The sequence below is a fragment of the Homo sapiens genome, chromosome 5, assembly GCF_000001405.40.
Source record: "Homo sapiens chromosome 5, GRCh38.p14 Primary Assembly".
NCBI classification, from domain to species: Eukaryota; Metazoa; Chordata; class Mammalia; order Primates; family Hominidae; genus Homo; species Homo sapiens.
In genome coordinates, this window is record NC_000005.10 from 143,299,620 (window position 1) to 143,318,554 (window position 18,935).

The following is an 18,935-nucleotide window of genomic DNA, read 5'->3' on the forward strand; positions in this document are numbered from 1 at the left end:
AAATGTTTGAGGTGATGGATATCCCAGTTACTCTGATTTGATCCTTACACGTTGTATGCTTTTATTAAATTATTACATGTACCCCCTAAATATAAATATGTACAGTAAATATGTACAACTATTATGTATTGATTTTAAAAAACAGAAAAGAATCTTGGCTTGAGGTATTAATCAATGAGTTAAGCAAAACATTTGCCCTGCTATTCACACCTCTTTCCCCCTTAATAAAACAAGGATGACAGGAGGTCAGGTTACTTTCTTGCTCTCTCCCTAACTATTTGCGTGAACACAGGCTTGTCAATTCCCTGTCTTTAAAGTCAGAGCTGACACTAACATTGACCTCTGCCATTCCACACCAAATTCCAATAGGGTAACTTTTATTTAAAATTATCTTTAAAATTACATTCAATGTGTAGCATTTCATTTAGTGAAGGGTTAAAATCATTCTACTTTAGTACAAATTTTGACAATCAACATACTTGATGTTTACCAATCTTACAAACAACCTGATTTTTAAAAGTGGCACAATGAAGGAAAACAAATGGAATTAACTAAAAACATTTTCTTTCCCCAAACTTCAGTGTAAAAGGAGTTTTGAGTGAGTCTTGTAACTTGAATTCTGATATTACATCATCCTATGTGAAATTACCATCCTGTGCATAATGATTTGAAAAGCAGGGAGTAATGTAAATGTTTTATTATAAACTCCCTATCACCTGTATTCACCTGACTCTCCCCTTCATAGTCCCCAGAACTAAGAGAAACAAGATAAGCCATGGGCTCACGATGATATAAAAGCCAAAGTGTTTTTGCTGAAGAAAACACAAAGGTTTATATAGTTGCTCTTTTATGTTTTGCATCTTACCTGGTATTGCCTTTGCCCATTTCACTGCTGCAATCACTTGCCGCCCTCCTAACATGTTGAGCGTAGTCATGATCCTCCAAGTTGAGTCTGGAACAGAGCTATCATATCCTGCATATAACACTTCAGGTTCAATAACCTCCAACAGTGACACCAGGGTAGGGGTGAGTTGTGGTAACGTTGCAGGAACTATTGTTTTGTTACCAGGATTTTCAGAGGTTTCTTGTGAGACTCCTGTAGTGGCCTGCTGAATTCCTTTTATTTTTTTCTTTGTTTTTCGAGCTGTGGGTATTTAAACAAATACATAGAAATGAACTGTAATGGGAAGGTCTGCGCTACACAGTTTATTCAAGAAGTATTTTTACTTTCTAAAACTATTAAGATGGGAGAAATATTTTATTTAGCAATTATGATAAAGTGACATGGAAAAGGAGAAAAAACTTTTTTTTTTCTGAAAGCAAAAGATCCAGAGGAACCTATTCCCAATTAATTTTGCCTACAAATAGGCCAGAAACTTCATTAGAGTTATTCCTTATACAAAGTATTATAACGGTATGTTAAAACAATCTGAGTAAATAACTTTTGTAAATTCTTCTATAAATTATTTTTTTATCTCACTTTCACTCTAAATGCAACAATTTCATTGGTTATATAAGGCAAATTACTCTTACTATAAACTGAAAAAAAAATCTAAGCTTGGAGTAACGGATTACAAACTGTGGTTTAAGATTAATCTAAATCATGGTAGTATATATAATGAAGAGAATTACACTATTTACACTTGTTCAAAGCCACTTATAAAGATAGGAAGATGACAGCAGATTACATGCTAAAAATAGTATTAGTTCTACCAGTAGAAAAAATTCACTTTTCACCTTTACATAGGTACTAACATAAATACTGCGTGGGACTAAAAACATTTGGGAAGATGAAATGAAAAACTTTACATTACATAAATTATAAGTGGGAAATTTCCCTTTTATAAGGAAGATTTATATTGATTACTCTATAAACCTAAAGCAGCCATTTTCATATTATATATAAATTATCTTTTACCTTGACTTGGTATGGAACCATCTACTCAAACTACAACATGGATCCTGTAGACTTTTTAGTAGACTTATTCATACTCCTGAAGTTATTTTAGTGACTAAATAAATAAGAATTACATTGTTCTCTCAGAGGGAAAGTACTCAGAATTCCAGGGAAAGGCAAGAAATGTAATTTATATCACGAAGAAATGTACTTGTCTAAATTATTAGGGATGCAAACCATTTTGCAAAGGGAAGAGTAAATGTAAATCACCTTTAAAAATCATTTTTAGATCCTCTGTCCTTAAAATGACACACCATATAGTCTATGGAGGACAGATATGGTGGTGGGAACGATATCTCAATGTACAATGTTAGAATAGAATGGTTCCATTCTTATTGTGTTCTATACTAAATGGGGTAACTGAGAATTGCAAAAATTTTTATTAATAGTTCAAAATAGAAACAGAATCATGATAGAACCATGCTAATTAGTTTACCATGCTCTCTTGGAGGCACAGTATGATATAGGACTAAAGGGCAGAAACCTGAAATCAGCATATTTGGATTTAAGTCCTGGTTCTGCCATGTTGTAGCTGGATATCTGTGCAAGTTACTCCCTGACTCTTCATTTCCCCTTCTGTAAAATGAGGACAATATTAGTCCCTACCTCATAGGGTTGTTGTGAGAATTAAATATGTAAAATGCTTAGAACAGTTCCTGGCATATATTATAGTAAGTACCACATAACAACTATCATTACCTCAACTTGCAGGAGAACATGTTTTTAGAATATTTTAAATTTGGATATCACAACTTAATAGAGGAGTGATAAAATTTTAAAAAGGAAAGACACCAATACATAAAGAAACTCTTTAAACAACCAGAAGTATCTCAGTGAAATCTTGATCCAAAATCATAAAATGTACTTTTGTTGACAATGTAAAAGAGAACACACATGTGCCAAATCAATACACTGAAACAGTACTTTGACAGCCTCAATTAGTCATAACTTTAAATGGTTTGGAATGCATATTTCTTTACTCCACATTAGAACAAGGAAGAAAGAGTAACAAGCTGGAGGATTAAAAAAAAACATTTTCTATGACTCAGTTTGTAATTAATTTCTCACTACTTATATATAGTTCTAAATGAGAAAACTGATGTTTTTCAATACAGCTCAGAAAGTACAATTGAACCCAACTGTGCTGTACTGACTAGAGCAAGAAATAATACTAATTAATTTTTCAAAATATCTTCAGGAAGGAGTTAACTGAACTGAATCATTTAGTTAAGCAATCACTATTTTAAAGCAACTTAGTTAATACAACTTTATATAAATTCCTGACCCATTGGAGCATATAGTTGATTAGCAGTCAATACAGGAGCTCCACAGAAGTGTTCATGAGTCTGTGGTAACACTACTTCCTTCTTAATGAAAGTAGAGAAATCTTAATTAGCTTAAAACCTAGTTTATAAAAGTTGGTTACTTGAAAGGATAAACAAGATTGATAGACCACTAGCAAGATTAACAAAGAAAAAAAGAGTGAAGACCCAAATAAGCACAATAAAAAATGTAAAAGATGACATTACAAGAGATTCCACAGAAGTGAAAAAGATCTTCACACTATTACAAGCACCTCTATGCACACAAAGTAGACAATCTAGAGGAAATGGATAAATTGGAACAAAGGCTTTAAAAAATCTAGGGTTTATGTGTGTGTGTATGTGGGTGGGGGGGCGGGTGGAGTTTACTATGAAAGTATCATTTTTGTTTTCAGCTGACCCCCGTATATATAAAGCCATTATTTGGAGTAAGTATGTATGTGGAAATGGAAACACACAACCTGCCTAGATTGAACCAGGAAGAAACTGAAATTCTGAACAGACCAATAACGAGTTCTGAAATTGAATCAATAATAAAAAACCTACCAATTAAAAAAAGCCCTTGACCAGATGGATTCACAGCCAAATTCTACCAGATGTACAAAGAAGAGCTGGTACTAATCCTACTAAAACTATTCTAAAAAAGCAATCTAGAAAGAGGGCCTCATCCCTAACTTATTCTACAAGGGAAACATCATTCTAATACCAAAACCTGGTAGAGAAACAACAACAACAACAAAACTACAGGCCAATATCCCTGATGAACACAGATACAAAAATCTTCAACAAAACACTAGCAAACTGAATCCAGCTGCACATCAAAAAGTTAATTCACCACAATCAAGTAGGCTTTATTTCTGGGATGCAAGGCTCGTTCAACATATGCAAATCAATAAATGTGATTCACCACATAACAAAAAAAATAATGATCATCTCAATAGATGCAGAAAAAGTTGCGATAAAATCCAGCATCTCTTCATGATAAAAACCTTCACCAAACTAGGTATTGAAGGAACATACCTCAAAGTAATAAAGAGCCCTGTATGACAAACCAACAGCCAACATCATACCAAATGGGCAAAAGCTGGAAGCATTCCCCTTAATGCAATAAGACAAGGATGCCCAATGTCACCATTCCAATTTAACATAGTACTGGAAATCCTAGTCAGAACAATCAGGTAAGAGAAAGAGATAAAAGGCTTCCAAATAGGAAAATAAATAATCAAACGATCTCTTTTCACTTATGATTCTATACCTAGAAAACCCTGAAGACTCTGTCAAAAGGCTCCTGGAGCTGATAAACAACTTTGGTAAAGGTTCAGGATTTAAAATCAATGTACAAAAATCAGTAGCATTTCTATACACCAGTAATGTTCAAGCTGAGAGCCAAATCAAGAATGCAATCCCATTTGTAACAGTCACAAAAAGAGTAAAATACCTAGGAATGCATCTAAGTTAGTTTAAAATTTTTACAAGGAGAACTACAAAACACTGCTGAAAGAAATCAAAGATGACACAAACAAATGGAATAACATTCCATGCTCATGGACTGGTAGAATCAGTATAGTTAAAATGGTCATACTACCCAAAGCAATTTATAGATTCAACACTATTCCTATCAAACTACAATGTCATTTTTCACAGAATTAGCAAAAAGCATTCTAAAATTCCTATGGAACCAAAAAATGCCCCAAATAGCCAAAGCAATCCTAAGCAAAAAGAACAAAGTTGGCAACATCACATTACCCCAAATCAAACTATACTACAGGCTATAGTAACCGAAACAGCATGGTACTGGTAAAAAAAAACCACACACAATGGTACAGAATAGAGTCCAGAAATAAAGACACACACCTACAGCCATGTAATCTACACAAAGTTGATAAAAATAAGCCATAGGGAAAAGACTCCCTATTCCATTAATGGTGCTGGGATAACTGGCTATCCATGTGCAGAAGAATGAAACTGGACCCCTACCTACTGCCATATAAAAATTAGTAAGGTGGATTAAAGATGTAAATGTAAGACCTCAAACTATGAAAATCCTAGAAGAAAACCTAGGAAATAACCTTCTCGACATTGGCCTTGGGAAAGAATTTATGACTAATCCCCAAAAGAAACTGCAACAAAAACAAAAATTGACAATGGGACCTAACTAAAGAGTTTCTGCAAATCAAGAGAAACTATCACAATCTACAGAATGGGAGAAAATATTTGCAAACTATGCATCTGACAAAGCCCTAATATCCAGAGTTTATATGGAACTTAAATTAACAAGCAAAAACAACCCCATTAAAAATGGGCAAAGGACATGAACAGACACTTCTCAAAAAAAGACATACGTGTGGCCAACAAACATATGGAAAAATGCTGATTGTTAATCATCAGAGAAATGCAAGTCAAAACCACAATGACACCACTGTGGAAAGAAGTTTGGAGATTCTTCAAAGAATTAAGAGTTTAACTACCATTCAACCTAGCAATCCTATTGCTGGGAATATACCCAAAGAAAAATAAATCATTCTATCAAAAAGACACATGTACCCATATGTTCACTGCAGCATGGTTTGCAATAGCAAAGACATGGAACCAACCCAGGTGCCCATCAACAGTGGACTGGATAAAGAAAATGTGGTATTTATATGCCATGGAATACTATGTGGCCACAAAAAGAATGAAATCACGTCCTTTGCAGCAACATGGATGTAGCAGGCGGCCAGTATCCTACATGAACTAATGCAGAAAAACAAATACCATGTTCTCATTTATAAATGGGAGCTAAACATTGAGTACACATAGACATAAAGATGGGAACAGACACTGGGAAATACAAGAGGGGGGATAGAGGAAGGGAGGCACAGGTTAAAAAGCACCTGTTAGGTACTGTGCTTACTTCCTAGATGAAAGGTTCAATCATACTCCAAACACCGGCATCACACAATGTATCTTAGTAACAAACCTGTACATGTACCCCTAGAATCTAAAATAAAAGTTGAAAATAAGAGAGAAACTACTAGATTGGGTTTTTGAACTTAAAAAAATTAGTTTCAGTAATATTTGGTTATAAATCTGACAATGCCACAAGACTAAGCTTCATTTGACTGTTTATACTAAAAATAAAGCCATACTTTGGATTGATTACAATATATCTTAAAATGAAGTGAATAAAAACATTTAGTTTCAAGAGAAAAACAAGCAAGTTTTTTAAAAAAAAACATTTAGGATCACCATTAAAAATCTTATCTGTTCTTAAATGCTAGGCCCTTTAAGCAGTGAAGGCCACTCCCTTAAAATAAATCTTGAGATTTACTTGGTATGGGGCAAGAGTATAAAAATACACCACTTGGAGTCCTAAGTTACATTTATGGAGAGACTTGGGCAAAGTTATTCTGGGGCTATCATCGAAACTGCTTGGCTTAGGGGAAGCACTCTGATGAACAAGAGAATATTTCTGAAGGTTGTTAAAAAAAAAGTGTGAAACACATGGCTCATCTGTATTGTAAGTGTTAGGGTCTGCCAAAGATTCCTGGCATACGTACATACCAGGCCAAATAAAGATTTTATGTATACTGAGGTTAGTTCAATACAAAAATGATAGTTTTACAGTGAAACCACACACACAAACCCTAAGAACTTTTTTAAGCCTTTCTTTCAATTCATCTACAAGTAGAATTGGATCATTTATATGATATGTGCCACACGGTACATATCATAGTAGGAAATAACAAATCAGAATTTTCTTCCACTATGTAGTATAAAAATGGATATAAAGTAAATCATGGCCCTATTCAAAGGTGTTTTTAATAATCAGGGTCCAAAAAGTAGAAGAATGTATATCAAAGACTAACATGTAGTAGTTTTCAACAAATGCCAATTTCTACACTAACTGGATACGTTATACTGACTATAAAAGCATATAATTGGTTATTTTTAATACAATATTTTGAGAAACTGCAGCCTAAATTGTATGCTTAAATTTTTTTTTTTTTTTTTTTTTTTTTTTTTTTTTTTTTTTTGAGACGGAGTCTCGCTCTGTCGCCCAGGCTGGAGTGCAGTGGCGCGATCTTGGCTCACTGCAAGCTCCAACTCCTGGGCTGATGCCATTCTCCTGCCTCAGCCTCCCGAGTAGCTGGGACTACAGGCGCCCGCCACCACGCCTGGCTAATTTTTTGTATTTTTAGTAGAGACGGGGTTTCACCGTGTTAGCCAGGATAGTCTCGATCTCCTGACCTCGTGATCCACCTGCCTAGGCCTCCCAAAGTGCTGGGATTACAGGCATGAGCCACCGCGCCCAACCGTATGCTTAAATTTTATTCATGTAAGAAAAATTTCTGATGTCCAACAAAAGATTCAACTGGAAATGGCAGTGATGGTATAATTAATAGAAAAATCAGATGTCAGTCACTGCCTGGGGTCGTCTTCTAGTACAGTAAGGGCAAAGGGCACTGCAATTGCTATTAAACTGTAAGAAGGAGGAAAAAATGGACAGATTTCGTAGCCTAGTCCATCAAAATCATTACTTTGTAGTTGATATATCTTTTTTCTTTTGATGAAAGAAGGCCCTCATAGTTTGGATAGGGAGAAATTGCCCAGAAAAACATTATATACTTAAAACTCCAAAGATCTTAAACTTTATATGTATTCAGAAAAGCACCTAAAAATGTTACTGGGTAAGCAACCACAATATATTAGAGATACGACAGAATTTTATTTGGGTTTGTCCTTTGAGCTTCATTCAAAACCTATTTCGAAATATAAAATAGGTAAAATGAAAAAATGAAGATTAGAGATAATTGGGACCGGAGAAAATAAACCAAAGGGCACTAAAAACTCAAGTGTCTTAATACATATTTAAATGGTCAAAGTATATTACATACATAGGAGATTAGAGAGCAGCAAGATGAAACTGGGTAAAATCTGGGCAGAGATCTGGTATCTAAGAAAGTGGGGAATACTGTTTTTATAACAAAAATAAACTACCCTTGTGGAACTGAAAGCAAACTTCTGTGTGCATTTTTTAGTTAATCTCTACAGTTTTTATAACATTTACAAGAAAGTGGGCAGCTATCATTTTATGTAAATCAATGTTTAACATGCTGACACTCTGCAGTTAAGTTTAAATAGCCTGGTCAAACGTAGATAGAGTTGTGTGTGTGGTTTGGGGAATTAGACTCTTCATAGTCATACCCATAAATCTATTTTCTATTTAACAAGATGTCTACACACAGTGTGTGCTAGATAGCACCAACAATTAGTCTCTCCTATCAAAAGAACCACATAGGTCAGTTGCAGTGGCTCACACCTGTAATACCAGCACTTTGGGAGGCCACGTTGGGAGGATCACTTAAGGCCAGGAGTTAGACACCAGCCTGGGAACATAGCAAGACCCCTTTGTCTCTACAAAAAATTAAAACAAAAATTAAAAAAAAATCAGCTGGGCATGGTAGTGTACATCCGTAGCCCTACTGGGTGGGAAGATGGCTTGAGTCTAGGAGTTCAAGGCTGCAGTGAGCCATGTTCATGTCACTGCACTCCAGCCTGGGTGACAAGAGTTAGACTCTGTCTCTAAAATAATAATAATCATCATAATCATAAAAGGAACCACATGGTTTCCATTCTCTCTCAGTACTGCCATCTCTTATCTGGAGGACTGCCATATTCACTTAATTGGTCTCTCCATGTAAGATTAGTCTTTGTAAAATACAAATCTGATCATGTCTCTGCCCTTATTTTTCATCTATCTAATTCCTACTCAGCTTATAGATTTAAAATTCAATGTTACTTCTTCCTTGACTTCCAAGACAGAATTAGGTGACCTTCCTCTTGTTCCTGTGGCCCTATGCCCTCTATGGTGTGCCATGCTATTTTGTGACTGACTCTGCAACCTAACTAGCAGATAAACTACTTGAATACAGGCACTATTTTATTCATTTTATACCTAGTGACTGCCTTGTTGGTGCATATTTGTTGAATAAAAGTGCTAATTTCACAATAAATACTAAGCATATGTGTTATGAGATCACCACTACCTTCACAGAACTTGCAATTTCAACCACAGCAGAATTCCAAACTTTTTTCAGAGGAAAATTTTTTAATGCTGAGATCAGTGTTAATTATACAACTTGTTATATAAACAGGGATATGAAACTCTAACTTATAACTAGTTTCAGGTTTCTTTTTTTTTTTTTTTTTCCAAGACGGAGTCTTGCTCTGTCGCCAAGCTGGAGTACAGTGGTGTGATCTCGGCTCACTGCAACCTCTGCCTCCCGGGTTCAAGTGATTCTCCTGCCTCAGCCTCCTGAGTAGCTGGGACTACAGGTGACACCACCACGCTCCGCTAATTTTTGTGTTTTTAGCAGAGACAGGGTTTCACCATGTTAGCCAGGATGATCTTGATCTCTTGACCTCGTGATCCGCCTGCCTTGGTCTCCCAAAGTGCGGGGAGACCAAGAAACTTTCTCAGAAACTTCTCACTGTTGTGTGCATTCAGGTCATGGAGTTGAACGTTTCTTTTGATTGAGCAGTTTTTCAAACACTCATTTTATAGAATCTGCAAGTGGATATTTGGAGCGCTTTGAGGCCTACGGTGGAAAAGGTAATATCTTCACATAAAAACTAGACAGAAGGATTCTCACAAACTTCGGGGATTACAGGCGTGAGCCACTGCACCCGGCCCAGGTTTCTTCTTTACTTGAAAACCAAAACAAAACCCATCCAGTTCTTCCTTGAGGTTTTTTTTTTCCCACCACCCCCCGCTTGAAGATCTGTAATAAAACACAGATCTCCAAGTAAAAGGTATGCTTTTAAAAGGCAAACAGAAAAATGGACATGTAAATATGTCTGATACAGAAACATTTCCAACCCTAGGGAATAGTTTTGAGGCTGAAAAAAGGAGTAAGAATAATAAAGTTGCTGCATGTTGTGTAAGTTTCATTATTACATAATTTCCTTTCTTTGTATATAGTCTGGCTGTACTGAATTCAGTGTGTGTAAGAAGAACTGGTGGATAAACAAACAATATGACATATTCATGAAAAAAATTTCCCATTTTTATTGGGCAGTAACATTATGCTAGTCAAGCATATATATACTGAACTGACTACATTAATTACATCTGCTTACGTGTATCTTCAAAAGTAAAATGATAAATTTTTATAAGCTACAGAGACAAACAATTGCTTTCAGATATTTATATTACCTTCCAGGTTCATTCCAGCCTGAAGACATTTTCGATAGCGGCATGCTGGGCAGTTTTTTCTTCGAATTTTATCGATGATGCAATCATTCCTTCCAGCACATAGGTAATTGTGCTGTCCTATATGGAATAAAAGGCACTATTAAAGTTTCACAGGTCTTCAAACATATTTTATAAGGACAGCCTCTGTCTTTGTTTCCGGTGGAATATAACCAAGACACCCACAGGTATTGCCTTGAGGGAATGTTCTTGCCTACATTGCCATTATGAGGTCGAGAGGTCAAAAACAACAAAAAGAGTCTCCCTTTTTCTGTTCAACAAACTGAAAACAGTGCAATAAAAAACCTTATTGCAGTATTCACATATAAAAAAAGTACACAAATCAGTGAACCATTTAATAAATTTTTACAAACCAAGAACCTTTATGTAATCAGCTCTCAGATCAAGAAACAGAACAGTACCCCAACAGGCCCCCTTTCTGCCCAATTCCAGCCAGTACCCACCAAGGGTAACTACTTTTTTGATAAACTGTGTTTTACACAGTTTGATAGATTATGTTTTTTTATTTTTATTTTTTTGAGATGGAGTCTCGCTCTGTCGCCCAGGCTGGGAGTGTAGTAGTGTAGTGGCATGACCTCACTGCAACCTCTGCCTCCCAGGTTCAAGCAATTCTCCTGGCTCAGACTCCCGAGTAGCTGGGATTACAGGTGCACGCCACCACGCCTGGCTAATTTTTATATTTTTAGTAGAGACAGGGTTTCACCATGTTGGCTAGGATTGTCTCGATCTCAGGACCTCGTGATCCACCCGCCTCGGCCTCCCGATGTGCTGGGATTACAGGCATGAGCCACCACGCCCAGCCAATAGATTGTGTTTTAAACAAATAATAGTTTGGGGTAGATGGTTAACTGTATCAGGTTCAATTCTTTGTAAAGAATAGGCCACAAAATTGACCACTAGACTATAATTCACCTTTGTTCAGAGCTGCTCTCCAATGCCAAATATCTGTACCAGCTGTTTCAATTTCTTTTTGTACTCTATAAATATCCTAGCTTCTTTACTTGGACAGAAAATGGAAGCACTAACCCAATTCTATCCCCTATAAATCAAAAGTACGATCAACAGATACATCTATTGATGAAGTGGTTATAATACAAAAAAGTTATACCCTATAAGGAATCTCTAAATCACTGTCCTACAGTTACTGGAAGAAAAAAAGAAAAAAAATCACCCACTGCTAAAAATGAAAAATTCCAAAGTTTTGTTTATATCCAACTGAAATGTCAGGATGTGCACATTACGCCAATCTTGATTTCTTTATCCCAGGTATGTCTTGTGCACAGCTAAGACTCTGAGCTATAGGATCAGAGGCAATGTACCTTCATAAGTTAAAAATAGCCCTTTGTGGTTATTAGCATGAAGTTGGACAAGTCTATCTATCTGTTCCTTATCTATAAAATGAGGAGTTTTAACTAGTATTCACTATTTCATAACACATGGCCACGTACAACTAATAGTCATTTCCTGTCAATCCATTCATTCATTCCTTGACTCATTTATTTATTTATTTTTAGACAAGTTCTTGCTACGTTGCCTAGGCTGGAGTACAGTGGTGTGTCATAGCTCTTTGCAGCCTGAATCTCCTGCTTTAGCTTCCTGAGTAGCTGAGACTACAGGTGCGATGCCTGGATAACGTTTTTTTTTTTTTTTTTTTTCCTGTAGAGACGGGGTCTCGTTATGTTGCTCAGGCTGGTCTCAAACTCCAGGCCTCAAGCAATCCTCCCATCTTGGCCTCCCAAATTGCTGGGATAATAGGTGTGAGCCACAGTGCACAGCCCATTTTCCTTGAGCCACAGTGCCCAGCCCATTTTCCTGTCAACCCTTCTGATAAGACAATGAGATATCTTATTTTGGAGTTCCTGTGTCTTCTACTACTTGGTAAATTCCCTTTCTAACTAATAGAAAGATGAGTCTTCAAGTCAGCTGAAATTTTGTGACTTTGTTTTGTTTATATGGTATTCATTTTTGTGGTTAAAGTCTATTTTTGGCAAATAATTCTGGTTTTCTATTTATGGTGGGTGTGGTAGCCAGCCTCCCAAGATGGCCCCCAGTGATCTCTGCCTCCTTGAATGCATGGTCTTGTGCAGTCCCTTTCCGTCCTTTACCAAGATTGGTCTGTGTGGCCAATAAAATATGGCAGAAGTGATGGCATGTTACATGTGAAATCAGATAATAAAAGACAATAGTTCTGCTGCATTGATCACATACTCTCTTGGATCATTTGTTATGGGGGATGTAAATTATAATGCTACTCACGTTACTCCACAGAGACCACAAGGATGCCAGCTTTGGCTAGTGTAGTAGTCCCACCTATTGATTAGAGTCAAAAGTAAAGCCCACCCCTGCCTAGTGTAAAGCTCTGAATAAAGTGCAACAACTTGCTGATACCCATATTATACTATGCCAATTTTGAGGGATAATCTATAATTCTAGCAGGTATTAAGAATGGAGTGCTAAGTGTAAGATATTTTCAATTCACAATGGGTTTATCTGGAGGCAACCCCATTGTAAGTCGAGGAGCCATACTGAATGCGTATCACTTTCCCACCATCATAAAAGTTGAAAAATCGTTAAGTCAGGGACTGTCCGTATTATTATTATCACTGCATTTATATCGTGGAAATACTTAAGCAGTTAAGAAAGTGAGGAGTAAAGTGAGGACACGAAGACGCTTCTGTCTTCTGCGTATGTGTTAAGTAACATCCACTTTATTAGGAGCAATGCACAAAGCAGGGCTGGGCTTTACTTTTGACTCTAATCAATAGGTGGGACTACTACACTGGCCAAAGCTGCCATCCTTGTAATCTTTGTGGTGTAATATGAGTAATTTTATAATTTGCTAATGTATTAAAAAGTAAAACAAAAGAAAATGACTCATCTAACTCTCATGGATATGCAAACACAACATGAGACAAATAATAATAATCCTCATACAGTGAATGAATAATTGTTTCTTTAAAAAATTAATATAATCAGAGCTTTAGGCCAAGCTACTTTCAAACTGCTTTAGAAATAACTAAATTATATGACAATTTTTTTCCTAGAGGAGTCACTGGTAGTATTAGGACATTTTAGACTCTCTTCTAATAAATTTGCTATGGAATGAATTTCTCATTCTTTAGGGAGATAATGCTGTTGCCCTGTCAGCAGTCTGAATCCATAACAAAGTAAGATTTGTGTTAATACAACATTTATATAGTGAAATCAGTTTCTCTAAAATACCTTTCCTGACCTCCTCAGGCCGAGTTTCTCTCTCCCTCATCTATATTATAATCTCTGTACCTTGTCATTGTTAACTCATCTTTCACTTCAGTGGAGTGTGACTTCCCAGAGGGTAAGGATCAGGTCTTATTGGTATTTATACCACTTAGCACAGTGCCCTGGCTTAATAGAAAAAAAAAATGAATAAGAAATGAAATGAATATCTTTTTTTTTTCCTGTCACAGTTCTCACTGTGACTCATTTTTGCCAGGCCAGTAAAGTTGGTGACTTTGAAACCTATTAGCTTATGGAAGTTAAAGCCCATGTTTCTAATACAATGAACATTATGTTATGCCCAAACTTAACACCATCATTTCATATGATAGCACTTTCTTATAGTGTTACCTTATGCTCCCTGACCAAACTCCCAGACATCAACTTGTACTTTTCTATTTTATTCTAGATCTTTTTGTATTGTTGTTTTAAATACTTTCCTGCCCATTAGAGGACCTAGGAGCCACCCTCCTCTCCCCTCTTAACTGATATTTAGCCTTTCATGGGCTTTGCATATAATGGAAATTTCAAAATCCACCCTGAGAAATGAAAACCAAGTAGAGGAAAAATAAACTCTTCAAAACACACACTACCTTCCACTGCTCTTTTGAAGAAAACTTTACAGCTTCCACAAGTTAAGACTCCATAATGACATCCTGAAGCTTCATCAGAGCACACCAGGCAGAGTTTGGGAGGTGGTCCTGTTGTTGCTGTTGAGGAGCTGGATGGAGGAGAGCTTACATCTGGTCTCATGCTGGGGCTAAAGAAGGGGAAGAACAGTGTTATGATTTAACTGTCAAAGGAATATCAAAATACAGTTCTCTTAGCTTCTCACTTCATAGTCAGAATGCTCACAGTGAACTCTGGCTTCAAGTGCTAGCAGGCACTAAAATATCCTAGCTAAATATATTCAAATCATGTTATATTCTTCTTTAAACAAAATTAAGAATGAGGTCATTTCTTTTGAAGTGTCTCCAAAATAGAATGGTGTGGTTCTGGTTCACTTCTTCTTCTTTTTTTTTTTTTTTTTAGATGCTTAGGATTTATTTTTATAATCACGTTTATTAAGGTGTCACATACAGTAACATTTACTGTTTTCTAAGTCTATAATTTATGGTTTTTGTTAAATGAATATTCATGTAACTACTATCACAATCAGGAGAGAGGATATTTCCATCATCCCAAAAAGATGCCTCCTATGCCTTTAATTGCTTAGGCCATAATTTTTTTCCTAATTTTAAGATCTTATACAGGCATCTTTTAAAATTCAATCAAGTGTCATTACAATTCTACCCATGTTTCCTACTAGAGTCAAAATTTTTTTACAATCTTAAAGTTTTTGTCCCATGTCTCTAATTCCTAATGTCATCTTGGCTGAAACCACAATTTCATATGACTCAGAGAAGACTGATCCAGAAACATTTTCTATAACCTTCCTGTCTGGCTTGCAGTAAGATTGGACAAAGCACTAGGCTTTCAAAAGTGAGTTCCATTCTGCCCACTCCACTCTATGACTGTTTGGCTTGAAGAAGAAGACAGAAATGTGAATCTGCTTCTCTTACTAGGTCTCTAACATTTTTCATAGTCTCACCACAAAGAGTGCAGGTCTAGTGATTATTAGCTGTTTAAAAGATAATTTGTTGTTTTAAAAATTTTCAATCTCAAAAAAAATTGGAAAGAATTGTACAATGGATATATACTTTTCACCAATATTCACCAAGTCTTAACATTTTGCCACATTTAATGATAAAGATATATTTTTATAAACCAATGAAACAGTGATCTTTCTATTACTGGAGGAAAAATTAATTATTGCATTTCATATTACATGACACAATGGTTTTCAATGTTGTATTTTCCTAAGGAATTTTCCTCTTACGTGCTGACTTTAGAACCAAAACTGTATTATGCAGCTAAAATGATTTTGTAGCCTTCTGCTTGTAATTAGAGACTGCCCATTCCATTTTTGGTTGTGTTCTTAAGCAAATCTTCAAAAACATGGATGCTGGCAACCTGTTGATTCTGGAATTCTACATATTAAAGTCCGTTTTGCTTATCATCTATACAAGTTCATAAATATACTAGTACCTCTCTCTAAACTTTTCTTAATTTGCCTTTTCTCTAAAAAAGATGGAACTTAGAAATAAACTTAAATTGGGTGTTCGTTGTCTCTGTTATTCTTTATTATCTCTTGCTTTTATTTATTTCAGCCAATAACAGTAGTAAGTCTCAATTACAAATATGTTTAAACTAATTCACAGAGCAAAGTAACTTAAAATTTTTTTCTAGTTATCAATCTGGTTAGAAATTACATTTATCAAGTAATGTAGTTTGTTGCTAATGTTCCGTTTAGGAATAAAAGTTAAAAGGTAATAATAATGGAATGACAATTTCTTTTATAAATGTTACCTTAAGTAATTAAGCCAGTAAATCCAAACGATCGCCCTAAATTCTATCTTCAAATGAAGCTTCCTGAATCTTGCCAACTGCCTGCTTACCTAACAGGCTTAGTCAATAGGACAGCATTCCCACCACCCTAATTCTGGGAAAAGGCCCCAGGGTTTCACATTGTTCTCTGAACACTGTTAAGAAGAATTTGTAGATGCTTCCGTATTACAAGGCATTCATTCCCTGCTAGATTTGGGCGAGTGGACTGACTACACGTCGAAAGCCTGTAACAGAATAACCTGAAATGACTCTGCTGTAGGTCCGGCACAGGCCACCCCTGATTAATGGAAACTTGTGACTAATGTAGAGGAGCTGCTTTGGGCCAGAGTTTTCCAGAGAAGTAGGAAGGTCCTGGAACAGTGAATGGTGCGACAATGTGTTGGGGAAGCAAAAACTCCTCTGGCTTCTATTCTGAAGATACTCCTATTCTTGCTCAGCCAGTCTCTGTCACCTGACATCTATTTTTAGGGACCAAACAGTTGTTTGTATATTAGTTTACAGAAAACGAGTGCATTGTTTAAAGGTTAGGACAGTATTCTGTAATGTTTACCCCATTAATTATATATACACACATATGCATATATAGTATGTATTTATATTTTAAATAATAGTTTGTAGTACTTCGTAGTTTTAGCTCTCAATAACCCTGTGAAAATGACATCATCACCCCTGGATGCGGTCATACGGGCCGTGGCAGGTGGTTCATCAGGGAGCCTATCTACGGTGAAGCTGACATATTTTAGATCCCAGCTGTACCACTTCACAGCTTCTGTTACCTTGGGTAGGTATCTACTACTTTGACCCCTGAGTTTCCTCATCAGTAAACTGGGAAGGATATCACCTGTGTGTGTGTTGTGAAAATAAGGTAACACATAGAAAATCTACTACAAGTTCCTGCTTCTAGCAGGCACTCAATACATGTTCCTTTTTCTTTTTCAGGAACACTGAAGATTTTATGAGTAAGTATTATATAAATGGAAGGTAGTATTAAGTCTAAATCCTAGGACCGTATTCCCAAATTCTTAGATATTACAATGTATGCAAAACATGTTCAGGCCACTCAACTGTAAGCTACAGATGACAAGGGAAAGTAAAAATGAACAAATGGATTGATAGTACAGTAGCTGAAAATTTGGAACCTCAATCAGGCTTTTGGCATCCCTTCAGGCAGTCGTTCTGGGCTACATCAGATAAGAACTGAGTACATGGAAAGCTGCCAGATGTACCATAGACATCGGTGAAAAAAGCCAATTTTTGTCATACAAATAGGAGGAGTAAGATAGCCTATAATGAACACCATTGGAAAAAATGGATGAATGCTAAATGGTATTCAGTTGCAAGTTTGATATTGTTAAAAGGGCTAGGGTACAACAAAATGGTTAGAACTCAAGAGAAAACCATATGGAATTGACATCTTTTATTAAGGATACATGGCAGAAGGAACCAAAAGTATACCATAGTAAGAGTGCATATTTCACCCCCTTTGAATGGGAAAGCTAAAATATCCTGGTCTTAAGGGCATCATTATCTGTAATAGTTATTGATTGCTCAATGTGTGTTCACTCACAGCTGTGCCAAACATTCTGAGAATGTTAAGAAGTTCCATTATGAACTATTGCTAGGGTGCTTGCTTTTAAGTGAGGAACCCTTGGAACAAAATGCCTTGTTCCAGGTGAATACCTGAATGCTGGTGGTTCCCAATCAGAATGGCAAATGTAGTAGAAACCGAATAATTCCTGAGGCTGAGTTTATGTTAGAGTTCAGAGAGAGAAAACCATGCATAAAGCTAGATATGTCTACTTAGTTTTGTTGCAAGCAAAGCAATTGCTACAAGGAGGATTATGGGTGAAAGTCATGGATGGATTATGAGTTAATCACACACCTAGAGAAGCATGTAAAATGTGCAGGTAAATTACACCCATTCATTCAGGCAGACGTTTCCTGGCACCTGAATGAAAGGCAAGCACTGTGAGGATCCAGTATCATGCTACAAATGATAACGAACCTTGAAACTCTGGTCTAGGATGGAGTACCAGAATATTTTGTAGCCGCCTCTTGTGTCTCAGTACTATTACGAAGAGAATCAGCTTTACATACAGACAAATCTGGGTTCAAATCCTAGTTCCAGTGCTCTAATAGCTGTGACAGTGGCTAGCTGACTTAACTTCTTTGAGTCCATTCCCTTATTAGTGCCATTTTAGGGGGTTTGTGTGGATTATATATATTAGAGTTATATAAAGCATTGTTACATACTTGGTGATCATCACACAATAGGTCTCTACCCTACCCCCAAGGATTACCTTCTTCCTTTCTGGAGGATCTTAGGGAAAGAGAAGTGCTACAGTCTTCCCCATGAGCCTGTAGAAGGTTAATGGTCCTCCAGAAACTTAAGTTCAGGTAATTATAGATTGCCTTTTCTGATTACTACACCAAAATTGGACAATTTCGTTTTTTAAAGGTTTTAGTATTGCAATGTGGAATCCAAAACTGTTATCAATGAACTTTTGATTGTTACATTGAAATATGTCAGTCTATCTTGCACTTTGAATGTATCTTTTACCCATGCATGATTTTGTATTATCATGCATTAGTCATCTGGAAAATACTGGTTCACTGAGTTATGCAGATCTTTCAAATGTTGACATAGTTCATTATGTAATATAAAAGAGTCACATTTGTCAAGCTCACAGTGGCAGAT

The 18,935-nt window shown here is 36.2% G+C and overlaps 1 protein-coding gene across 22 annotated transcripts in view; it reads right to left on the reverse strand.

The window, feature by feature from the left end:
• Positions 1–18,935, reverse strand: part of NR3C1 (nuclear receptor subfamily 3 group C member 1) — a 157,582-nt gene that overhangs the window by 21,689 nt on the left and 116,958 nt on the right. For 18 of the 22 annotated variants that reach the window (NR_157096.2, NM_001018075.1, NM_001018074.1 and 15 more), the window contains 3 exons: positions 14,383–14,549; positions 10,478–10,594; positions 866–1,144 (listed from right to left, as the gene is read on the reverse strand). Coding sequence is in view for 21 of the 22 variants with exons in the window: in NM_001018075.1 (NP_001018085.1) it covers positions 866–1,144; positions 10,478–10,594; positions 14,383–14,549 (563 nt within the window). In the remaining variant the exon portion in view is untranslated. Of the gene's footprint in view, positions 1–865; positions 1,145–10,477; positions 10,595–14,379; positions 14,550–18,935 lie in introns of all 22 variants that reach the window. The other 4 variants (NM_001364183.2, NM_001364184.2, NM_001024094.2 and 1 more) reach the window with 1 other exon arrangement.